The 23698-nt window shown below is 36.9% G+C and overlaps 1 long non-coding RNA gene across 1 annotated transcript in view; it reads right to left on the bottom strand.

The window, feature by feature from the left end:
- Positions 1-772: 772 nt before the first annotated feature.
- The window catches only part of LOC107986309 (uncharacterized), a 123175-nt gene continuing 100249 nt past the window's right edge, over positions 773-23698 (bottom strand). The window contains exon 3 of the long non-coding RNA XR_001741806.2: positions 773-1956. This is a non-coding gene — a long non-coding RNA (uncharacterized LOC107986309). The remainder of the gene's footprint in view (positions 1957-23698) is intronic.

The raw sequence follows: 23698 nt of genomic DNA, 5'->3' as shown, positions 1-23698 counted from the left end.
GCTCTACAGGTATGTCATATCTGTAATATTCTGCGGGGGTCATTCTTGGAAGCTTAGAATCAAAGCCTGCTTGTTTTTCTAAAGATTTTTTAAGCACCTAATTCCCATTGTTAAATCTGTTTAAAATACCTAGAGGGGTTTTGAGTTACTGCACTAGGAACTCATACACTAGCCAAGAGAGGTCATTAGTTTTATAGATGAGGCAGTTTAGTAATTGCTCAACTTAGCTTGTAACATTTAGTGTAGAACAATGATCCAGGTTTTTATCTTCAAGTCTAATCCATATGATGTTAGTAATATGGAAACTCCACATAATTTCAAGCATTGTTTTAGATGTATGCAAATATACATTTATTTATATATTGTGTTAGTCTCTTTGCGTTGCTACAAAGGAATATCTGAGTCTCAGGAATTTATAAAGAAAAGGGGTTTATTTTGGCTCATAGCTCAGCAGGTTGTACAGAAAGTGTGGCACCAGCATCTGCTTCTGGTAAGGGCCTCAGGAAGCTTACAATCATGGCAGAAGGCGAAGGGGGATGCTGTGTATCACATGGTGGGAGAGGAAGCAAGAGAGTGAAGAGGAAGTTCCAGGCTCTTTTAAATAACCAGATCTGGTGTGAACTCATAGAGGGAGAACTCACTGATTATTGTGAGGATGGCATCAAAACATTCATGAGAATCCACCCCCATGATCCAAACACCTCCCACCAGGCCCCACCTCCAACATTGGGGATTATATTTCAGCATGAGATTTGGAGGGGACAAACATCCAAACTATATCATTTAACCTCTGGCCCCCCAAATCTTATGTCCTCCTCACATTGCAATATGCATCATCCCTTTGCAATAGTCCCCCAAAGTCTTAATCATTTCAGCATTAACTCAAAAGTCTAAAGCCTCACTTGAGACTCAGGGTAAGTTCCTTCCACCTATGAGCCTGTCAGATCAAAAACAAGTTATTTACTTCCAAAATACAATAGTATCATTGTATAATAGTATCATTGGGTCAACATTCCCATTCCAAAAGGGAGAAATTGGCCAAAAGGAAGGTGCAACAGGCTCCATGCAAGTCTGAAACACAGCAGGGCAAACATTCAAACTTAATGTCCAAAATAATCTTGTTAACTCCATGTTCTGCATCCAGGGCACACTGGTACAAAGGGTGGGCTCACAAGGCCTTGGGCAGCTCTGCCTCTGTGACTTTTCACAGGTCAGCCCCTGTGGCTGGTCTCACATGTTGGCTTTGAGTGACTGCGGCTTTTCCAGGCTCAGGGTGCGAGCTACTGATGGCTCTACCATTCTTAGCTATTGAGGCAGTGGCCCCATTGCCACAGCTTCACTAGATAGTGCCCTGGTGGGGACTGTGTGGGGGCTCCAACCCCACATTTCCCCTCAGCACTATCCTAATGTTTGTTGTAGGACTTTCTCCTTAGTTCAGCTAAAAGCCAGGTTCTTGTCACTTGACCATCAAAGATTAGCCCCGCAGACAATTTGAAGGGTGAGAAAAATGGAATTTATTGGGTGAAAAGGAAAAAAGGGAAACAGAGACACTCGGCGAAGTGAGAGTCTCGCTAGCTGGCTTCCCACCTCACAGATTGAATCCCAGGTTACCGCCCCACATCAGGAGAGGCCAGGCTCCTCCCCCATGCAAATGGTGTGAACTTTCCAACGTTCCACCCCAGTGCGCACTCCTCCCAGTGGGCAAGCTGGTCAGAGGTTCTGCCAGGGGGCGCTTCTTACTTGGCTACCTAATTCTGCCACTCTGAAGAAGTACATCTAACTGCCATTAGAATAAGGATAAGGATAAGGACGAAGACTGATCTTAACTGCTTCCTGCTGACAGGGGGCGCTGTTTTGGGAAAACGGCAGTCTCCCTCAGAAGCTTATTTAAGGGTCCTCAGCAGAAGGGGCCATTGTCTGAGGCTCTGGTTGCATGACTGTGTGGAGTTTGCTGGCCTGAAGGTGAAAAGAGAAAAACCAGGTTATTAGAAAACATGTATCAAAATCAAACAAGTAGGGAGGCGGGTAAGGATAGCTCAAAAATCCCAAGGCCTTTTACCAGTTTGCACAGGGAGAGGGAGGCCAAAACCTTCCATCATTGAAAGGGCAGAGGTTTGTCCTCGCCTGAATAGACGCTTACTCTGGATATGGGTTTGCCTATCCTGCACACAATGCTTCTGCCAAGACTACCATCTGTGGGCTCATGGAATGCCTTATCCACCATCATGGTATTCCACACAGTGTTGCCTCTGACCAAGGCACTCACTTTACAGCTAAAGTAGTGAGGCAGTGGGCTCATGCTCATGGAATTCACTGGTCTTTCCATGTTCCCCATCATCATAAAGCAGCTGGATTGGTAGAATGGTGGAATGGCCTTTGAAGTCACAATTACAATTCCAACTAGGTGACAATACTTTGCAGGGCTGGGGCAAAGTTCTCTAGAAGGTTGTGTATGCTCTGGATCAACATCCAATATATGATATTGTTTCTCCTATAGCCAGGATTCACTGGTCTAGGAATCAAGGGATGGAAGTGGAAGTGGCACCACTCACCATCACCTCTAGTGATCCACTAGCAAAATTTTTGCTTTTTGTTCCCATGACATTACATTCTGCTGGCCTAGAGGTCTTAGTTCCAGAGGGAGGAACGCTGCTACCAGGAATCACAACAATTATTCCATTAAACTGGAAGTTAAGATTGCCACCTGGACACTTTGGGTTCCTCCTAGCTTTAAGTCAACAGGCTAAGAAGGGAGTTACAGTGTTGGCTGGGGTGACTGACCCAGACTATCAAGATGAAATCAGTCTACTACTCCATAATGGAGGTAAGAAAGAGTATTCATGGAGTACAGGAGATCCATTAGGGCATCTCTTAGTATTACCATGCCCTGTGATTAAGGTCAATGGGAAACTACAACAGCCCAATCCAGGCAGGACTACAAATGACCCAGACCCTACAGGAATGAAGGTTTTGGTCACTCCACTTGGAAAAAAAACCATGAGCTGCTGAGGTGCTTGCTGAAGGCAAAGGGAATACAGAATGGGTAGTAGAAGAAGATAGTCATCAATACCAACTATGACCATGTGACCAGCTGCAGAAATGAGGACTGTAATTGTCATAAGTATTCCCTCCTTCTTTTGTTAAAAACGTGTTTGTGCATGTATACATTTGTAGTAAGAACATATCTTCACTTTATTTCCTTTTTCCTTTATAATATGACATAAGATTTATTGACTGCAATTCAAGTATTGTTAAATTTATGTAATAGTTACTAGGTTGGGGATTGGTGCATTTCCAGTTGTACATAGGACAGTTGTATTATGTTAGGCATAATTATGACCTTATTATTGTCTTTATTTGAAAATTACGTATGATCTCAGAAAATGTGTATGGGTTCAAGTTGACAAGAATGGACTTTTGATTGTTAAAACTGAGTGTCAACTTGATTGGATTGAAGGATACAAAGTATTGATCGTGGGCGTGTCTGTGAGGGTGTTGCCAAATGAGATTAACGTTTGAGTCAAAGGCAGACCCACCCTTAATCTGGGTGGGCACAATTCTAGTTAGCTGCCAGCATGGTAGAACATAAGCAGGCAGAAAAATATGAAAAGAGAAACTGGCCTAGCCTCCCAGCTTACATCTTTCTCCTGTGCTGGATGCTTGCTGCTCTTGAACATTGGACTCCAAGTTCTTCAGTTCTGCAACTCGGACTGGCTCTCCTTCCTCCTCAGCCTGCAGATGCCCTATTGTGGGAACTTGTGATCATGTGAATTAATACTTAATAAACTCCCCTTTACATATATATATATATATATATATATATATACACATATATATATATATTCCATTAGTTCCATCCCTCTAGAGAGCCCTGACTAATACACATAGTTTGCAATATATTCTCCCATTCTGAAGTTTGTCTGTTTACTCTGTTGAAGTTTCTTTTGCTGTGCAGGAGCTCTTTAGTTTAATCAGGTCCCACTTATCAATTTTGTTTTTGTTGCCATTGCTTTTAGGGACTTAGTCATAAACTCTTTGCCAAGGCTGATGTCTACAATGGTTTTTCCTAGGTTTTGTTCTAGGATTTCTATAGTTCGAGGTCTTTAATCCATATTCAATTAATTTTTGTATATGGTGAAAAGTAGGAGTCCAGTTTTATTCTTCTGTATGTGGCTATCTAGCTATCCCAGCATCGTTTATTGAATAGGGAGCTTTTCCCCCTTGCTTATTTTTGTCAACTTTGTTTCAATCAGATGGCTGTAGGTGTGTGGCTTTATTGCTGGATTCTTTATTCTGTTCTATTAGTCTATGTGTCTGTTTTTGTATTAGTACCATGGTATTTTGGTTACTGTAATGTATTGTAGCTTGAAGTTGGGTAGTGTGATGTCTCTGGCTTTGTTTTTCTTGTATAGAATTGCTTTGGCTTTTTAGGTTCTTTTTTGGTTCCATGAGAACTTTGGGATGCATTTTTTTTTTAGTTTTGTGAAAAATGATGTTGGTAGTTTGGCAGGAACAGTGTTGAATCTGTAGATTGTTTTGGGCAGTATAGCCATTTTAACAGTATTGATTCTTTCAATCCATGAGCATGGGGTATTTTTCCATTTGTTTGTATCATCTCCGATTTCTTTCAGCAGTGTTTTGTAGTTCTCCTTGTAGAGATTGTTTTCCTCCTTGGTTAAATGTATTCCAAAGTATATTCTTTTTTTCTTTTTGTGGCTACTGTAAATGGGATTGCATTCTTTATTTGAGTCTCAGCTTGAATATTATTGGTGTATGAAAATGTTACTGATTTTTGTACACTGATTTCAAATCCTAAAACTTTAGTGAAGTTATTTATCAGTTCTAGGAGCCTTTTGGAGGAGTCTTTAGGGTTTTCTAGGTATAGAATTATATCATCAGTGAAGAGAGATAATCTGACTTTTTCTTTTCATATTTAGATGCATTTTATTTATTTCTCTTGTCCGAATTGCTCTGGCTAGGACTTTCAGTACTATGTTGACTGGGAGTCATAAGAGTGGGAATACTTTTCTTCTTTCTGTTCTTAAGAAAAATGCTTCCACCTTTTGCCTATTCAGCATGATGTTGGCTGTGGGATTGTCATAGATGGCTTTTATTCTTTTGAGGTATGTTCCTTCAATGCCTAGTTTGTTGAGGATTTTTATCATGAAGAGATGCTAGATTTTATATTTAAAAAGCTTTTACTGCATCTATTGAGATGATCGGATGGCTTTTTAAAAATTCTATTTATGTGGTGAATCACAATTATTAATTTGCATATGTTGGAACAGTCCTGTATCCCAGGAATAAAGCCTACTTGATTGTGGTGAATTAACCTTTTGATTTGCAGCTGCATTTGGTTTGCAAGTATTTTGTTGAGGGTTTTTGCATCTACGTTCATCAGGGATATTGGCTTGTATTTTTAGTTGTGTCTTTGCCAGATTTTGGTATCAGAGTGGTGCTGGCTTCATAGATTAAGTTAGGGAGGAGTCCCACCTCCTTGATTATTTTTAATAGTTTCAGTAGAATTGGTAACAGCTCTTCTTTGCACATCCGGTAGAGTCTGGATGTGAAATTATGTGGTTCAGGGCTTTTTTGGTTGGTAGGTTTTGTTATTACTGAATCAACTTCAGAAATCAATATGGGTCTGTTCAGGGTATCAGTTTCTTCCTTACACATCCTGAGAGGTTGTGTGTTTCTAGGAATTTATTCATTTCCTCTAGATTTTCTAGTTTGTGTGCATAGAAATGTTCCTAATAGCCTCTGAGAATCTTCTATATTTCTGGGGGATTGGTTGTAAAACCACCATTGTCATTTATTAAGTATCTGCTATGTGCCAGGCCCCATGCTGAGCACTGGGATTCCCCTGCCCTGTGGAGCTAACCTACACCCGCATCAATACACAGTCACAGTGGTGGTGAGGTCTGAGAGGAAAGCCACAGGCCAAGTAATGGCATAAGATCAGGAAAAGCCCTGGTCTGGCAGCAGTAAAGGATAGTGTGAGGGGTGAGGAGGCTGGGAAAGGAGAAGCTTAGAGGCACAGGCAGGGGCCAAAGTGGGTGTGCTTTGAACACAAGGGAAAGACATTGGACTTTATCTTGAGGGTCACTGGAAACCCAGATGAGTTTTAGGCAGAGCAGTGACTTGTATTTTAGAAAGCCTAGCTTGGTTGCTAAGAGCAGGTGGCAACTTCCAGGTGAGAGATTATGTAGCCACCATCTGAGACTCAGATACATAGAAAGCAAGAGATGGAGGGAGAAAAGCAGGATCAGGGACTGGTCTTGGTAGGTGATCAAAGCTCACACCAGATCACTGATGAGATTCATGGGCTGCTTACACAGGAGAAGTGACACGACTGGCCAGATAAGAGGAGCGGCCAGCTATGGACAGCTGAGCTTGGGGATGACATCTAAGTGGGGGTCTCTAGGTGGGAACAGGCTGATTGCAAGTTCTGGTGCTTAGGAGAGGGGATAGAGCAGTGGAAATGGCCTGGGCTCCCTCGTGGAACCCAGCCATGAGTGTGGAGCATCAGAAGAGAGACAAGGGAGGGGCCTAGAAAGGAGGCTGCAAAAGGGTGGCCTGAGCAGTGGAGGACACCAGGAGCATGTCACCTGGAAGGAGCAGAGGAGGGTAAGTTTCAGGCCATAGGGCATGGCCAGCTGGTCTAATACAGCCAAAGTCAAGGATGATAAAGACAGCAGCAATGTGGGGGCCATCAGTGCCCCTAACCAGAGGAGAGTCCCAGGTGAGTGGGAGAGGAGGAAATACAGACAGCCAGATTCAATGACCCCCCTCCTGGAAGCTCTGCTGGGACTATGAGGGGAGAGAGGAGACAGCACGTAGGTTCACAGGGTGACTTTCTATTTAGATGCTGAGCAGAAAGTGCAGTTTGTGAAGGGCTGGTGTTCCCATCACAGTAATGCAGAACTGGCTGACTGTAAAATGGCTTTGCCACTCACAGACCATGTTTTCACCTTTGGTGTCAAGTGGTGATCCCCTTAACAACCCTGTGAGGTAGATGCTGCTGCTTCTGCTTTACAGATGAGTAACTGGAGCCTCCGAGAGGTGAAGTCAGTGGCTCCTGGTTTGCAGCTCATACAAAGCAGGAGCAGGATCTGAATTGGGGGATTACAATTTGAGATGAGATCTGAGTGGGGACACAAAGCCAAACCATATCATTACTCTTCAAATATTTTAAAAATATAATTTTTTCCCAATGCTCAGTAAAACATGATAATTGCTTGAATGAAGTGTTGATTTTATCTTTTATAGAAAATCAGAAAATTCAAATTAAAAATGGCAGAAAAAAGTGTAAAAAATTAGAGTTACAGAAAATAAGATAAATTTTGTAAGACTTAATATGTTATAATACCTCCTAATTTGCCTGCAAATCTGTGAAATGTGTGAAATTAATGTAAAACTTTTCTAAACATTATCCTAGTTTCTTCAGTGTAGAGACACAAATGCTTGGATCAACAATGACTCTGCTAAATATAATTTCATAGTCCTTGGGTAAAATATTTTAGAATTCATGAATGTAGATGTGAAAAGATAGAAAAAAATATTTCTTTTAATTTTCAAAAAGGGCTTACTATAACAGAAGACTGCTATAGATCAATAAGCTTAATATGTATTATGCTATATTCCAGGACTGATTATTAGACAAATATTTGAGGCTTCTAGACACAAATAAGTAAAATATTTTACTTACTATGCTATATGTACTAACAGAATGTCATGACAATTGAACCTCTAATAATCTTTCTTAGAGTTACTAGATTGACAAATAAGGGCAAAACTATAGCCAAATATGAAGATAAGGATTAGAAATAGCCTTTAGCAAACAGTGAGAAAACTACAAAGATTAGTTTATGATATAATTGCCTTAGGGATACAAGTGCTACTGTAAATATGCATAATACAATGCCTAGGAAATTACAGACTCCTGAAAGAGAATTGTAACTCTACTACATATTGAATACAGTGGATGAATAGGTTGAAATAGTATTTAATGTAGCACTATTAAAAGTAAATGTTCAAAAATGCAGGTATCTTTTTTTACTCAGAAAATTAAAAGTTTAAGATAATGAATTACTTTAAGATCATATGGTGTAACTTAACATCTTAAGGTGTAACATGTGAAAAGTTTAACACACTCTCCACCACTACCTCTGTTCCTCATCTTCCATTTACAGTCATGTGCTGTATAATGACATTTCAGCCAGTGACAGAAAACATAAGTGACAGTGGTCTCATAAGATTATAATGGAGCTGAAAAATTCCTATCATCTAGTGACATGGTAGCCGTCATAATGGCATAGTGTAATTACTTTGTTTTAAAAATAAATGTAGTATATCATAAAGGTATAGTGCTTATAAATTCTATAGTAATATGATGTCCTAGGCCTTGATTCACTCACCACTTACTCACTGACACATCCAGAGAAACTTCCAGTTCTGCAAACTTCATTCATGTTAGTTTCCCTATACAGGCGTATCATCTTTTAATTTTTTAAACTGTATTTTCACTGTGTCTTTTCTAAGTTTAGATAAAAATACCATTGTGTTATAATTTCCCATAGTATTGAGTATAGTAACATATAGGTTTGTAGCCTAGGAGCAATATGCTATATACCATGTAGCCTAGGTGTGTAGTAAGCTGTATCATTTAGGTTTGTGCACGTACACTCTATGATGTTTGCACAAAACCAAAATTACCTAAGGACACATTTCTTCAGTATGTATTCCCATTGTTAAGTGACACAGGATTGTATTCCTCTGTCCATTTCAGGTTAGTTCTTGCACCCTCCCTTCCATAGGAACTTTTCTCATGTCATCATGACCTCCTTATTACTAAATATGGTGAATATTTTTAGATTATTATATTAATTTATTTATTGACAGCATTTTATATTTCTGACAATTTAATTTCTTCTTTTCTTACCTATTAATGTTTTTTCTCTTTCTTTTACAAAATTATGATCCTATCATTTTATAAAAATGATTTTACAAATGAGAAATATTATAAAAGAAGGTTATAAACAAGCAATACAGAGAAGTGTGGAGTTGAGGGCAAAATAATAATTTCCAAATCTGACCAACTTCATATATCTTTTAGCAAAATTCAGTGACTGTCATTTTAGACATCTGTGAGGGGACTTATATGAATACACACACACACACACATGCACACACACACAGACTAGTTCATTTAAAAAACATTTATAATTTATATTATTTTATTTTTACTAAGAAGTATTAAACTTTGTTACTTGCATAGAAAGAAATAAAACTCAAGGAACTGATAAACTATTTTTTTGCAAATTAAAAATTTTAAACTGACATATACAATTTTTTACTTATTGTGGAATGGTTAAATCTTGCTAATTAACAAACGCGTATTACCTCATATATATAAATTACCTCAAATATTTATCATTTTTGTGGCAAGAACACTTAATATCCACTTTTTAAGCATTTTTTAAGAATACAGTCATTATGTAAAATAATATGGCAGTTCCTCAGAAAAATTAAAAATGGGACTACCATATGATACAGCAATCCCACTAGTGGGTATATATCCAAAGGAAATGAAATCAACATGTCAAAGAGACCTGCACTTTCACATTTATTGCAGCATTATTCACGATAGCCAAGATATGAAATCAACCTAAGAGTCCATGGATGGGTGGATGGATATAGAAAATGTGACACACACACACACACACACACACAAACACTATTCAGCCACACACACACGAATACTATTCAGAGACACACACACACACAGACACACACGAATACTATTCAGCAACACATACATACATACACTAGAATACTATTCAGACACACACACACACAAGAATACTACTCAGCCACACACACACACTAGACTAGTATTCAACCACACATGCACACACACACATACATACACAATACAAGACTATTCAGCCACAGAAAAGAAGATCCTGCAATTTATCCCAACATGGATGAAACTGGAAGACATTATGTTAAGGAAAATAAGCCAGGCACAGAAAGACAAATAACTTCATAATCTCACTCATATGCAGAATGTAAAAAAGTTGATCACATAGAATTATAGAGTAGAATGATGGTTATCAGAGGCTGGGATGGATGGGGGAAAGAAGAGTTAGGGAGATGTTGGTCAAAGGATATATAAGTTAGACAGGAGGAATAAGTTCAAGTGATCTGTTGTTATAACATAATGACTATGGTTAATGAAAAACTTTAGATAGCTTCTGACTATAAGTGATTGTAGTTTTTGCGATATCCTTCTTATTAAGGGAAAATGATTAATAGATAACTTTGATGCTTGAATAATTATTTTTAACTATACTACTCAACTTTGAGTTGTGGTTGTTGATACTGCTATAAAGTTGAAGAAATTGGTACATTTATACTTCCAATTCTCATCTCATCCATCTCATTTTTATTACATTACAAACTGTCATTTATTAACTGTCAGTTTAAAAGTTTGTAACGTTTACATTCTGTCTTATCTCCATAATTCTCCCATTTGTGTAATTTAGTCATATATTTGAGTCACTTAAACACTCAACATCAGTCTTTTGCTGTGATTCCTCTGATCTTTTTATTTGTATCCCTTGGTTGGCTGAATTTTGTCTACAAATTCTTTATTGCTTCAGAATGTCAATTGCATTTGTACTTGAAGGACAACTTAACTGGATTAAATTACAGGGGTCACTCTCTATTCTTTAAAACCCTGTAACTATTGCTTTGCTGTCCTTTGCAGCAGCTATAACAGAGGCAAATCTGAGTCCCAATTCTTTCTTGACTTCCCTTTTTGTCTAGATGACCATATAAATTTTTCTTTACTCTTGAAATTTAATTATGTCACCAGGAATGTCTCAATAGTAATTATGTTACTTTTTAAAATTATTTATACCTTATCTTTGAATACTTTTCTATGGCTCATTTCTTGAGGACTTCAAGGAACCCTGTAAGGGTTTTAAGCAGGTAATATTTAAATTTAGAAACACTACTTTGGATACATATGGAGAAGGTTTTGGGAACAGCAATACTAACAGTGGAGAACACTGAAAGATATGTTTCTGAAGTAAAACTTTGATACATTCCTTTTCTATTATTTGTGACCTAGCTGGCTAGATGAAGAATGGTGAACTGAAAGAGACAGGGAGGAGGTAGTAATAAATCAGTATCACAGAAATCCTGTGAACTAAGTGCTTTTCAAGGAACTTTGGAGAAGTAAAAAGTGCAAACTATAGGAACATGTGACTCTAGAGAAACGAAATAACCAATTTGGTGAGAGGGAGTTTGAGACAATAGATTTGAGTTGTTGCTGCCAACTACACACCACTATTGGTGCCCATAAAAGGTCATTAGCACATAGACAGTTACCCTCAAATATCAGTGATACAAAGAAGGGTGACCTAAGCATGGACACTAAAAAAAACTTTAGTGGAGAGAACATAATCAAAATGAAGATGAAGACTATATGCACATATATATTACACAAGTAATGAGTCAAAGAAGCATAAGAAGTGTTCAAATAAAAAGAGTTATAAAATGGAGATTATACAACAATAAAAGGAAATGAAAGATGACTTGCTTGAAACCAAGTAAAGAAAAACAGAAAAAATGATAAAAATAAATGTCATATGAAAGACAACATAGAAGTCAAATTTCACTATTGTGAAAATGACCATACTGCCCAAAGCAATCTACAGATTAAATGAGATTCCCATCAAAATACCATCATTATTCCTCACATAACTAGAAAAAACAAACCTACAATTTATATGAAACCAAAAAAGAGCCCACATAGCCAAAGTAAGACTAAGCAAAAAGAACAAATTTGGAGGCATCACATTACCCGACTTCAAATTATACTGCAATATACTATAGCTACCAAAACAGCATGGTACTGGCATAAAAATAGGCATGTAAAACAATGGAACAGAATAGAGAAGCCAGAAATAAAGCCAAATGCTTACAGCCAACTGATCTTTTACAAAGCAAACAAAAACCGAAAGTGGGGAAAGGACACCCTATTCAACAATGGTACTGGGATAATTGGCAAGCCACATGTAGAAGACTGAAACTGGATCTTCATCTGTCACCTTATACAAAATCAACTCAAGACCTGAAATCATAAAAATTCTAGAATATAACATTGGAAAAACCTTTCTAGATATTGGCTTAGGAAAAGACTTCATGACCAAGAACCCAAAAGCAAACACGATAAAAACAAAGATAAACAGACGGGACTTAATTAAACTAAAGCTTCTGCACAGCAAAATACATAATCAGCAGAGTAAACAGACAACCCACAGAGCGGGAGAAAATCTTTGCAATATATACATCTGACCAAATACTAATATCCAGAGTCTACAAGGTACTCAAATCAGCGAGAAGAAGAAGAAATCCCATCAAAAAGTGGGCTAAGGAGATGAATAGACAATTCTCCAAAGAAGATACACAAATGGCCAACAAATATATGAAAAAGTGCTCAACATTAATAATCATCAGGGAAATGCAAATTAAAACCACAATGAGATACCACCTTACTCCTGCAAGAATGACCATAATTAAAAAGTCAAAAAATAATAGATGTTGGTGTGGATGTGGTGAAAGGGAACACTTTCACACTGCTGGTGGAAATGTAAATTAGTACAACCATTATGGGAAACAGTGTGGAGATTACTAAAAGAACTAAAAGTGGAACTACCATTTGATCCAGCAATCCCACTACTGGGTAACTACCCAAAGGAAAATAAGTCATTATATAAAAAAGACATATGGGCATGCATGTTTATAGCAGCACAATTCACAACTGCAAAAATATGGAACCAAACTAAGTGCCCATCAACCAATGAGTGCATAAAGAAAATGTATATATACACCATGGAATACTACTCAGCCATAATAAGTAATGAAATAATGTTTTTTGGCAGCAACTTGGTTGGAGCAGGAGGTCATTATTCAAAGTGAAATAACTCAGGAATGGAAAACCAAATATCATATGTTCTCACTTTCCTTATAATAGGTCAGAGCTAAGCTATGAAGAACCAAAGGCACAAGAATGATTTAGTGGACTTTGGGGAACCAGGAGGGAAGGTTGGGAGGTATTGAGGGATAAAAGACTATATATTGAGTACAGACTGTACTGCTTGGGTGACAGGTGCATTAAAATCTCAGAAATCACCACTAAAGAACTTATCCATGTAACCAAAAACCACCTGTACCCCCAAAACTATTGAAATAAAAATATAAAAAGAAGCTATTCTCAGATGAAAAACATGTTGGATAAAACAGTGGATAATGATAGATAACTGGGAGTTGGCTTATCATTCATCTGCCTCCATATTACATGTGTGAACATGTATATACACATATGCATGCATATGTAGCAAATGAACTCCAATATTACATATGTATGTGTGTCTAGGTATACATTCATGTGTATATGTAAAAGTGGTGTTGATGTCTATAATTTCTATGTATAATACAAAAACCTCCATGAGTCCATATAGAACAGAAAGAAGGAAAAAAGGAGGGAAAGAGAAAGAGGGAGGGAGGGAAGGAAGGAAGGAAGGGAGGGAGGGAAGGAGGGAGGAAGGGAGGGAGGGAAGGAGGGAGGAAGGGAGGGAAGGAGGGAGGGAGGGAGGAAGGGAGGGAAGGAGGGAGGGAGGGAGGGAGGAAGGGAGGGAAGGAGGGAGGGAGAAAAGGAAGGAAGGGAGGGAGGGAGGGAAGGAAGGAGGGGGAGGGAGGGAGGGAGGGAAGGAGGGAGGGAGGGAGAAAAGGGGGGGAAGGGAGGAAGAAAAAGCAACAATTTTTCCTAACAGAAGAATTCCAATTCTAGATGGAGAAGGAATGTGGAAAATAGAACATCACCATTAGAGCACAACAGTTGTAACTGCTTCAGGCAAGACCCACTGATGAATGCTAAAATTAGTGAGTAAGACTTTAAGGGGGAACAGGATATTCACATTGCCCCAAAATATCTGCCATCAAATATTTATTGATAATTGTGGTAGTTTTAACATGTCTACAAATTCTTAAACACTCCTCCCTCTAGGAAATGAAGCTTAATATCCATGGATCGGATTTAATAACTCCAACGGCTGGACTTAGTAACTCACTTCCAAAGGGCAGAGTATGGAAAGGGGAAATGGTAACATTACAGTGCACAGGTCTGGCAGACATTACCTTACCCAAGTGATCAAGGCCAACATCACCAGCATAACACATATTGATATTCAGTACCCCAAATCCATAACTTCAGAGTAATTATGAGAAAACATTAGACAAAACCAAACTAAAGGACATTCTACGAAACACCTAAACCACTATTCTCCTAAAGTGTCAAGGTAATGAATAACAAAGAAAAACTGATGAACTGCAGTAGATTGAAGGAGACCAAGGAGGCATGACACCTAAATGCAGTGCAGTATCCTGACTTGAATCCTGGAACAGAAGACATTAGTGGAAATATCAGGATAAAATCAATAGTCTGTAATTTAGTCAATAGTATTTGTTGAGCCAATCTTAATTTCTTAATTTTGGTTACTGTACATGGTTATGTGAGATATTAACATCATGGGAAGCCAGATAAAAAGTATACAGGGGCTGTCTGTACTATCTTTGCAAGTTTTCTGTAAGTCTAAAATGATCAAAATAATTTTTTTTCAAGTGTTTAGCTTTGATGAACATAAGGGTTATACTCAGCACCTTGAAGTGGAAGGGTGTCAAACCCTGGTGACTGAAGTTGAAAATAAAAACAATTTAGCCGTAACCACTTACTACTTATTACTATTCACCAGGGTAATTTGAGTGTCCAAGTTTCCCAAACTAAAATCTACTGCGAAATTGGCTAGGGGAGCTTTCAATCCACCCAGCTGCAGGCCCTGGAGTGGATTAGGAAGATTCAGCCTCCTGTTCAACCCCTTTCTCCTGCTATCCCTGCATTGGGGATGTAGTTTAGCTCTAGTGGGTGATTTGGATGTTTGAGATGGCTGAGCTGAAACAACGGAGATGGGAGTTGGTGATGATTGGTACTTTGTAGAAAGGTGAGAAAAGCATTTTAAAAAGTCAGATTTATGAAAGACAGGCTTGAGGAAATCATGTTAAGTGAAATGGAAAAATGATAAAATTATTATGAAGAAGATTTTAGACATGGAAGATAGACTTGTTTTCATTCTAAAGAATCTGAAGCAGATACAGGTAAACTTTTATAAAGAGGCAAAAAGTAAGTATTTTAAGCCTGGTGGGACAAAGGTCTCTGTTGCAACTACTCAACCTTGTCATTGTAGAGTGAAAGCATTCATAAACTATGTAAACAAACTGGCCTGGCTGTGTTCCCTTAACGCTTTAACAAAAACAGGTGTTGGGATGGATTTGTTTCATTGGTCATTTTTTGCTGATCTCTGATCTAAAAGATTAAAACAGAAAAAGTAATTGTATTCAGTGGGAACCTATGTGTTCTTTAGTGAATTGGTTTGTGTGTGTGTGATTAATACCTACAGCCATTTAAGGCACAGAGCCCAGAGCAATGGCCCCTTTTGTCTGAGCTTAAGAGTAGGATTGGCTTCCAAGAAAGATTTGCTCTCTGTATTACCTTATCATTCCTTTACTTCTCTTATCACAACACTTCCCCCCAACCCCCATTTAATTGTTTATTTGTTCCTATATTCCTCCCCACAATCAAAATTTCCCAAAGCCTGTTTTTCTGATTCATTGCTGGAACCTTGGTGACTAGTAAATTACCTGGAACATAAGAGGACCTCAATTCATATCTTTAAACATGTGAATAAAAAGATCTCAAGATTCCACTTTATTCAGCATCTTAGTGCCATTTAAAATGAAAGTCATAATGAAGCAGTAGCTCAAGAGTTACTAATTACAATTGAAAGTTTAGAAGTTACTATTGACAAAACCCATGTGTGCTAGAAAATAAACCTTGTGTATTTATTAGGATGATAAACCACATCTGAGAGTTAGCCTGACTGTGTGACAAAAAGAGGAGGTGGATGATAATGGAATGTGAGCAGTTACTGAAGTTGGCTGACATTTCAAACACCTGAGGCATCTTTCACATGGAAAATTTGATTCACAGTAAAATGAGGCTCTGCATGACAAATTGCAAAGCTTCAATCAAAGCAACAAAAGTGGTCCTCGGTGTAGGGGGAAAGTTAGAAATCCAAGTTAACAATAATGGATAACATTTATCAAGTGCTTATATGTGCTGGGTACCATTTTATGCTCTTTGCATCTAGACATTTAATGAGGAAACTATTACTGTTTTCCTCTTCATTTTATTTATAAGTACACTTAACAACAGAGATGCTATGTAATTTTCCTAAGGTCATGCTTATTAAGTGGTGGATGGAGAATCTGAATATACATAGTCTGGTTCAGGAACCTCTGCACTTAATTGCTAAGAATACTAAAATCCTGGCAGCAAAGACTTACAAAACAAACATGTGTGAAAGGAAAACACTAAGCCATCTAGACAATAAGTCCATGGAAGGAAGAAAACGTAATGCTGTAGTCATCCTTATATTGACCTAGGAGAACTGATCATCTCTAGTCTATTGTAACAGCAATATGTACTGATATGGTCTAAAAATTATTGTGTTATAAAATGAAATGTGAGCTCTTTAATATTTAAATTGATACATTGTGTTTACTGCCAAATGACTTTAAGACTTCTATGGATTCATGATAAAAGAATGAATTTGTTTTTGTTGTTATAAATAACTGTTGTTTTATTAATGCACACTAAATATATGCTTAATGGAAAAAATTGGAAATTATGAAAAACTAGAAAGAAGAAAATAAAAGTAACCTGTACTGACAGATTTGACACAAACTCTATCAAAATTCCACTGGCATTTTTAATAGAAATATAAAAGAATTCCAAAATTCATATGGAACCACAAAAGACCCCAAATAGCCAAAGCAATCTTGAGAAAGAAGAACAAAGTTGGAAGCATTACAATTCCTATTTAAAATTACATTACAAAGCTATAATAATCAAATCAAAAGTGGCATAAAAACAGACACACAGACGAGTGAAACAGAATAGACAGCACAGAAATAAACCTAAGCATATAAGGTTAACTAATTTTCAACAAGGGTGCCAAGAATACATAAGGGGGAAAGGATAGTTTCTTTGATAAATGGTGTTGGGAAAATTGTATATCCACATGCAAAAGAATGAAATTGGATTCTTATCTTAAACCATATAAGAAAATCAACTCAAAATGAATTAAAAACTTAAATGTAAGACCTAAAACGATAAAACTTCTAAATAAAAACATAAGAGAAAAGCTCTATGACATTGATTTTTCCAATGATTTCATGAATATGACACAAAAAACTCAGGCAACAAAAAAAAACAAACAAGTGGGACCATATCAAATTAAAAAGCATCTGCATGGCAAAGGAAGCAATCAATAAAATGAAAAGGCAGCCCAATTGAGTAGGAGAACATATTTGCAAACCATATGTCTCATAAGGGATTAATGTTCAAAATATATAAGGAACTCCTCAAACTCAATAGCTAAAAAAACAATCTGATTTAAAAACGGGCAAAAGACCTAAATAGACATTTTCCAAAAATAGACATACAAACGGCCAATAGGTGCTTAACATAACTGATCATCAGGGAAATGCAAATCAAAAGCACAATGAGATATCATCTCCTGCCTGTTAGGATGGCTACTATCAAAAAGATAAAAGATAAGTGTTGGCGAGGATGTGGAGGAAAAAGGAACCCTTGTACACTGTTGGCAGGAATGTAAATTGGTGCAGGCATTATAGAAAATAATATGAAGGTTTCTAAAAAAACTGGAGTAGAACTACTATATGATCCAGCAATCCCTTTTCTGGGTATATAGCCAAAGAAAGTAAAATCAGTATCTTGAAGAGATACCTGCACTTCCATGTTCATTGCAGTATTAGTCACAATAGCCAATATATGGAAACAACGTAAGTGTTCAATGCTGGATGACTGGATAAAGAAGAAATTGTGTTGAATTTTATCGAAGACCTTTTCTGCATCTATTGAGATATTCATATGGTTTTTGTCTTTGGTTCTGTTTATGTGATGGATTATGTTTATTGATTTGTGTATGTTGAACCAGCCTTGCATCCCAGGGACGAAGCCGACTTGATCTTGGTGGATAAGCTTTTTGATGCGCTACTGGATTTGGTTTGCCAGTATTTTATTGACGATTTTTGCATCGATGTTCATCAGGCATATTGGCTTGAAATTTTCTTTTTTGTTGTGTCTCTGCCAGGTTTGGCTATCAGGATGATGCTGGCCTCATAAAATGAGTTAGGGAGGATTCCCTCTTTTTCTATTGATTGGAATAGTTTCAGAAGGAATGGTACCAGCTTCTCTTTGTACCTCTGGTAGAATTTGGCTGTGAATCCGTCTGGTCCTGGGCTTTTTTTGGTTGATGGGCTATTAATTACTGCTTCAATTTCAGAACCTGTTATTGGTTTATTCAAGGATTCGACTTCTTCCTGGTTTAGTCTTGGGAGGGTATATGTGTCCAGGAATTTATCCATATCTTCTAGATTTTCTAATTAATTTCTGTGGAGTTGTTTATAGTGTTCTCTGATGGTAGTTTGAATTTCTGTGGGATCAGTGGTGATATCACCTTTATAATTTTTTATTGTGTCTATTTGCTTCTTCTCTCTTTTCTTCATTATTAGCCTGGCTAGGAGCCTATGTATTTTGTTAATCTTTTGAAAAAAACAGCTCCTGGATTCATTGATTTTTTGAAGGGTTTTTCGTGTCTCTATCTCCTTCAGTTTCTTCCTGCTAAAACCTCTCAATAAACTAGGTATTGATGGAATGTATCTCAAAATAATAAGAGCTATTTATGATAAACCTATAGCCAATATCATACTGTATGGGCAAAAGCCCTTTGAAAACTGGCACAAGACATGGATGCCTCTGTCACCACTCCTATTCAACATAGTATTGGAAGTTCTGGCCAGGGCAATCAGGCAAGAGAAAGAAACAAAGCGTATTCAAATAGGAAGACAGGAAGTCAAATTGTCTCTAGTTGCAGATGACATGATTGTATATTTAGAAAATCCCATCGTCTCAGCCCCAAAGTTCCTTCAAGCTGATACGCAACTTCAGCAAATTCTCAGGCTACAAAATCAATGTGCAAAAATCACAAGAATTCCTATACACCAATAACAGACAAACAGAGAGCCAAATCATGAGTGAACTCCCATGCACAATTGCTACAAAGAGAATCAAATACCTGGGAATACAACTTACAAGGGATGTGAAGGACCTCTTTAAGGAGAACTACAAACCACTGCTCAAGGAAATAAGAGAGGACACAAATGAATGAAAAAACACTCCGTACTCATGGATAGAAAGAATCAATATTGTGAAAATGGCCATACTGCCCAAAGTAATTTACAGACTCAGTGCTATCCCCATCAAGCCACCACTGATTTTCTTCACAGAATTAGAAAAAACTACTTTAAATTTCATATGGAACCAAAAAAGAGCCTGTATAGCCAAGACAATTCTAAGCAAAAAGAACAAAGCTGGAGGCATCACGCTACCTGACTTCAAATTATACTACAAGGCTACAGTAACCAAAACAGCATGGTATTGGTACGAAAACAGAGATATAGACCAATGGAACAGAACAGAGACCTCAGAAATAACACCACACATCTACAACCATCTGATCTTTGACAAACCTGAGAAAAACAAGCAATGAGGAAAGGATTCCCTATTTAATAAATGGTGTTGGGAAAACTGGCTAGCCATATGCAGAAAACTGAAACTGGACCCCTTCCTTACACTGCATACAAGAATTAACTCAAGATGAATTAAAGGCTTAATGTAAGACCTAAAACCATAAAAACCCTAGAAGAAAACCTAGGCAATACCATTCAGGACATAGACATGGGCAAAGGCCCCATGTCTAACACACCAACAGCAAAGGCAACAAAAGCCAAAATTGACAAATGGGATCTAATTAAACTAAAGAGCTTCTGTACAGCAAAAGAAACTATCATCAGAGTAAACAGGCAACCTATAGAAAGGGAGAAAATTTTTGCAATCTATCCATCTGACAAAGGGCTAATATCCAGAATCTACAAGGAACTTAAACAAATTTACAGGAAAAAAAAAAACCAAACAACCCCATAAAAAAAGTGGGCGAAGGATATGAATAGACCCTTTTCAAAAGAAGACATTTATGCAGCCAAAAAGTATATGGGAAAAAAAGCTCATCATCACTGGTCATTAGAGAAATGCAAATCAAAACCACAATGAGATACCATCTCCTGCCAGTTAGAATGGTGATCATTAAAAAGTCAGGAAACAACAGATGCTGGAGAGGATGTGGAGAAATAGGAATGCTTTTACACTGTTGGTGAGAGTGTAAATTAGTTCAACCATTGTGGAAGACAGTGTGGTGATTCCTCAAGGATCTAGAACCAGAAATACCATTTGACCCAGCAATGGCATTGCTGGGTATATACCCAAAGGATTATAAATCATTCTACTATAAAGACACATGCACATGTATGTTTATTGCAGCACTATTCACAATAGCAAAGACTTGGAACCAACCCAAATGCTCACCAATGATAGACTGGATAAAGAAAATGTGGCACATATACACCATGGAATACTATGCAGCCATAAAAAAGGATGAATTTATGTCCTTGTCAGGGACATGGATGAAGCTGGAAACCATGATTCTCAGCAGACTAACACAGGAACAGAAAACCAAACACTGCATGTTCTCACTCATAAGTAGGAGTTGAACAATGAGAACACATGGACACAGGGAGGGGAACATCACACACTGGGGCCTGTAAGGGGGCGGGGGGCTAGGGGAGGGATAGGATTAGGAGAAATACCTCATGTAGATGACAGGTTGATGGGCACCACCCATGGTATGTGTATACATATGTAACAAACCTGCATGTTCTGCATATGTATCCCAGAACTTAAAGCATAATTTTAAAAAAAGAAATTGTGGTACACACACACACACACACACACAGAGAGAGAGAGAGAAAGAGAGAGAGAGAGAGAGAAATATTATTCAGCCTTTTAAAGAAAAAGAGATTCTGCCATTTGCAACAACAGAGAGTAGAAAAATGGTACCAGAAGCGAGGAAGTGGAGGAGATATATTGGTCATAGGGTACAGTTGCAATTATGTAGGGTATGTAGGTCTAGAGAACTAATGTGCAGCATAATGATTATAGTTAATAATACTGTATTATATACCGGAAATTTGTTGGGGGACTAGATTTCAGGTGCTCTCATGGAACATATAGACACACACATAGTAACTATGTGAGGAAATGTATAATGTTATTAAGCTTGACAATAGTAATGATTTCCCTATGTATGTGTGTATTAAAACATCATGTTATAAACCTTAAAAAGACAATTTATATTATTAGAAATGACCCAGAGTAAATTAACATTCTGTTTTCCTTTGATAACTTTTACAAATGGTTTATTTATTTTTGTTATTTTATTATTTTGTCTTCTAGCAAACCATTTTTTCAACAGATAACTTTTACAGACATTTTAATTGGGCTATACCATATATACAATGAAGTATATCAATCTTAAGAGTAAAGCTAGAAGAATTTTAAAAATGAGTATTTCCACCAATCAGACCGTGAATGGAGAGCATTATGCAGAAAGCTTCCTTTTGCTGTCTCCCAGTCAGTAACCCTTAAAAAGTAAATGCTATCCCAGCTACTATTACTGGAGGTTAGTTTTGCTTGCTTTTTAACTGCACACGCATGGAATGATACTATCTGTGATTTTTGGTGTCTGACATTTTTCGCTCAACATAGTATCTGTGAGATTCATCCATGTTGTTGTGTGTCACAGCAGTTTGTTAATGCTAATTTTCCAAAGCAGTAAGTATTAATTTACATTCCCTCCAGCAGTATTAGAAAGCCAATTACTCCCTCACCCAAACCCGGGGTTGTCAAACCTTTTACTTTTGATTGGTTTTAATTGTGATGGGTTTCTAGTATTATCTCACAGAGGTTTTAATGCATTTTCATCTCATATGTAATGTTTTTGACCACTTTTTCATATGCTTATTAGTCATTTGATCACACTACTTTGTAAAGTATTTTGCTCATTTAAAAAATTGGGTTAATTTTACTTATTGCTTTGTAGAAATTATTTATGTCTTCCCACTCTGTAGCTTATGTTTTCACTTCCTAAATAGTGTGTGTAAATGAACAGAATTCCTTAATTTGAACAAAACTCAACTTACTAGTCTTTTCTCTTGTGGTTAGGGCTCTCTGTGTTTTGTTTAAGATATCTTTGCAAACCTGAGTTCTTGAAGTCATCCTCCTAGATTTTATTTTAGAAGACTTATTGTCTTATATTTCATATTTAGATTTGTAATCCACCTGAAATTTATTTTTGTGAACAGAGTGAAATAGTAGTAAGGCCTAGTATTCAACTGATGCAGCACTGTTTATTGAAACAACCAATTTTCCCCATTGCATTACAATGACATCTTTATCATAATTCAGATGGCCTTATAAGTATGGATACAATTTGAATTCTCTTCTATTCCTTGGTTAATTTATCTAAACTTGCTTCAAAAATCACAGTTTTAATTAATGTAGTTTTATAAGACTTAAAAATCCAGTAGTGTAACACCTCCAGCTTTGATCTTCAAGATCATCTTTATTAATCTGGGTTTTTTCATTTTTATATACATTTTATACTTGTTTTGTTGATTTTCACACACACACACACACAAACACACACACCCCATTGGAATTATTTTGAAGCTACAGATTAATCTGGAGAGAACTGACAGATTTAAATATTGTTTCTTCTAATCCATAAATATGTTAAACATATCCATCTATGTAGGTCTTTCTTAATTTTTCTTGGTAATAGCTAATAGTTGTTAGTGTAGAGCTCATACACAACTTTCATTAGTTTTTCTCCTAGCGTTTGGTGCTTTTTGATGGTCTTAAAAACAGTATTTTTCTTAAATTGGTATTTGTTTGTTGCACACACACACACACACACACACACACACACCATAATTGATTCCTGTATATTGACAATACATCCAGTGATCTCACAAAATGTATTTACTGTATTTGTTTTAAAAACTTATATGTTGATTGTTTTCAATTTTCCAAGTGCACAATTACAGCATCTGCAATAAAAAGTTTTATTTCTTCCTTTTGAATCATTCTACTTTATGCATACAAACTTAAGATTTTAATATTCTGTTGAACTGACCATTTTAAGTTAATCATTTTGTGTCTATTAGTACTTTAAATATATTGTACTGAGTCTTACATTAATACAGTATTAGCAATTGTCCTTTTGTTAATGTTTTATATATTTTCCATCCTTTTACTTTCAACTTTAGGTGTATAAGAAGTATTTTGTTTTGCTTTCTTTAACCCAGCTTGACAAACTTTGTCTTGCAGTTTTATTTCACTCACATGTAATATAATTGCTGATATATTTTTATTTGTCTTTAATTTGGACATGTAGCCTATCTCAACTTGAAGAAAGAATTTTATGAAAAAAAATTTAAGAATCATTTTTATGAACAAAAGGTAAAATATGGACTGCATAATAACTTTATTTACTGGTTGAAGAACTCCAGCAGATGTTGTTCAAAAGAGCCT

This window comes from Homo sapiens, chromosome 4 (genome assembly GCF_000001405.40).
Source record: "Homo sapiens chromosome 4, GRCh38.p14 Primary Assembly".
Lineage (NCBI taxonomy): Eukaryota > Metazoa > Chordata > Mammalia > Primates > Hominidae > Homo > Homo sapiens.
The sequence above is the reverse complement of the archived record's forward strand: the minus strand, read 5'-3'. Positions and strand labels throughout refer to the sequence as shown.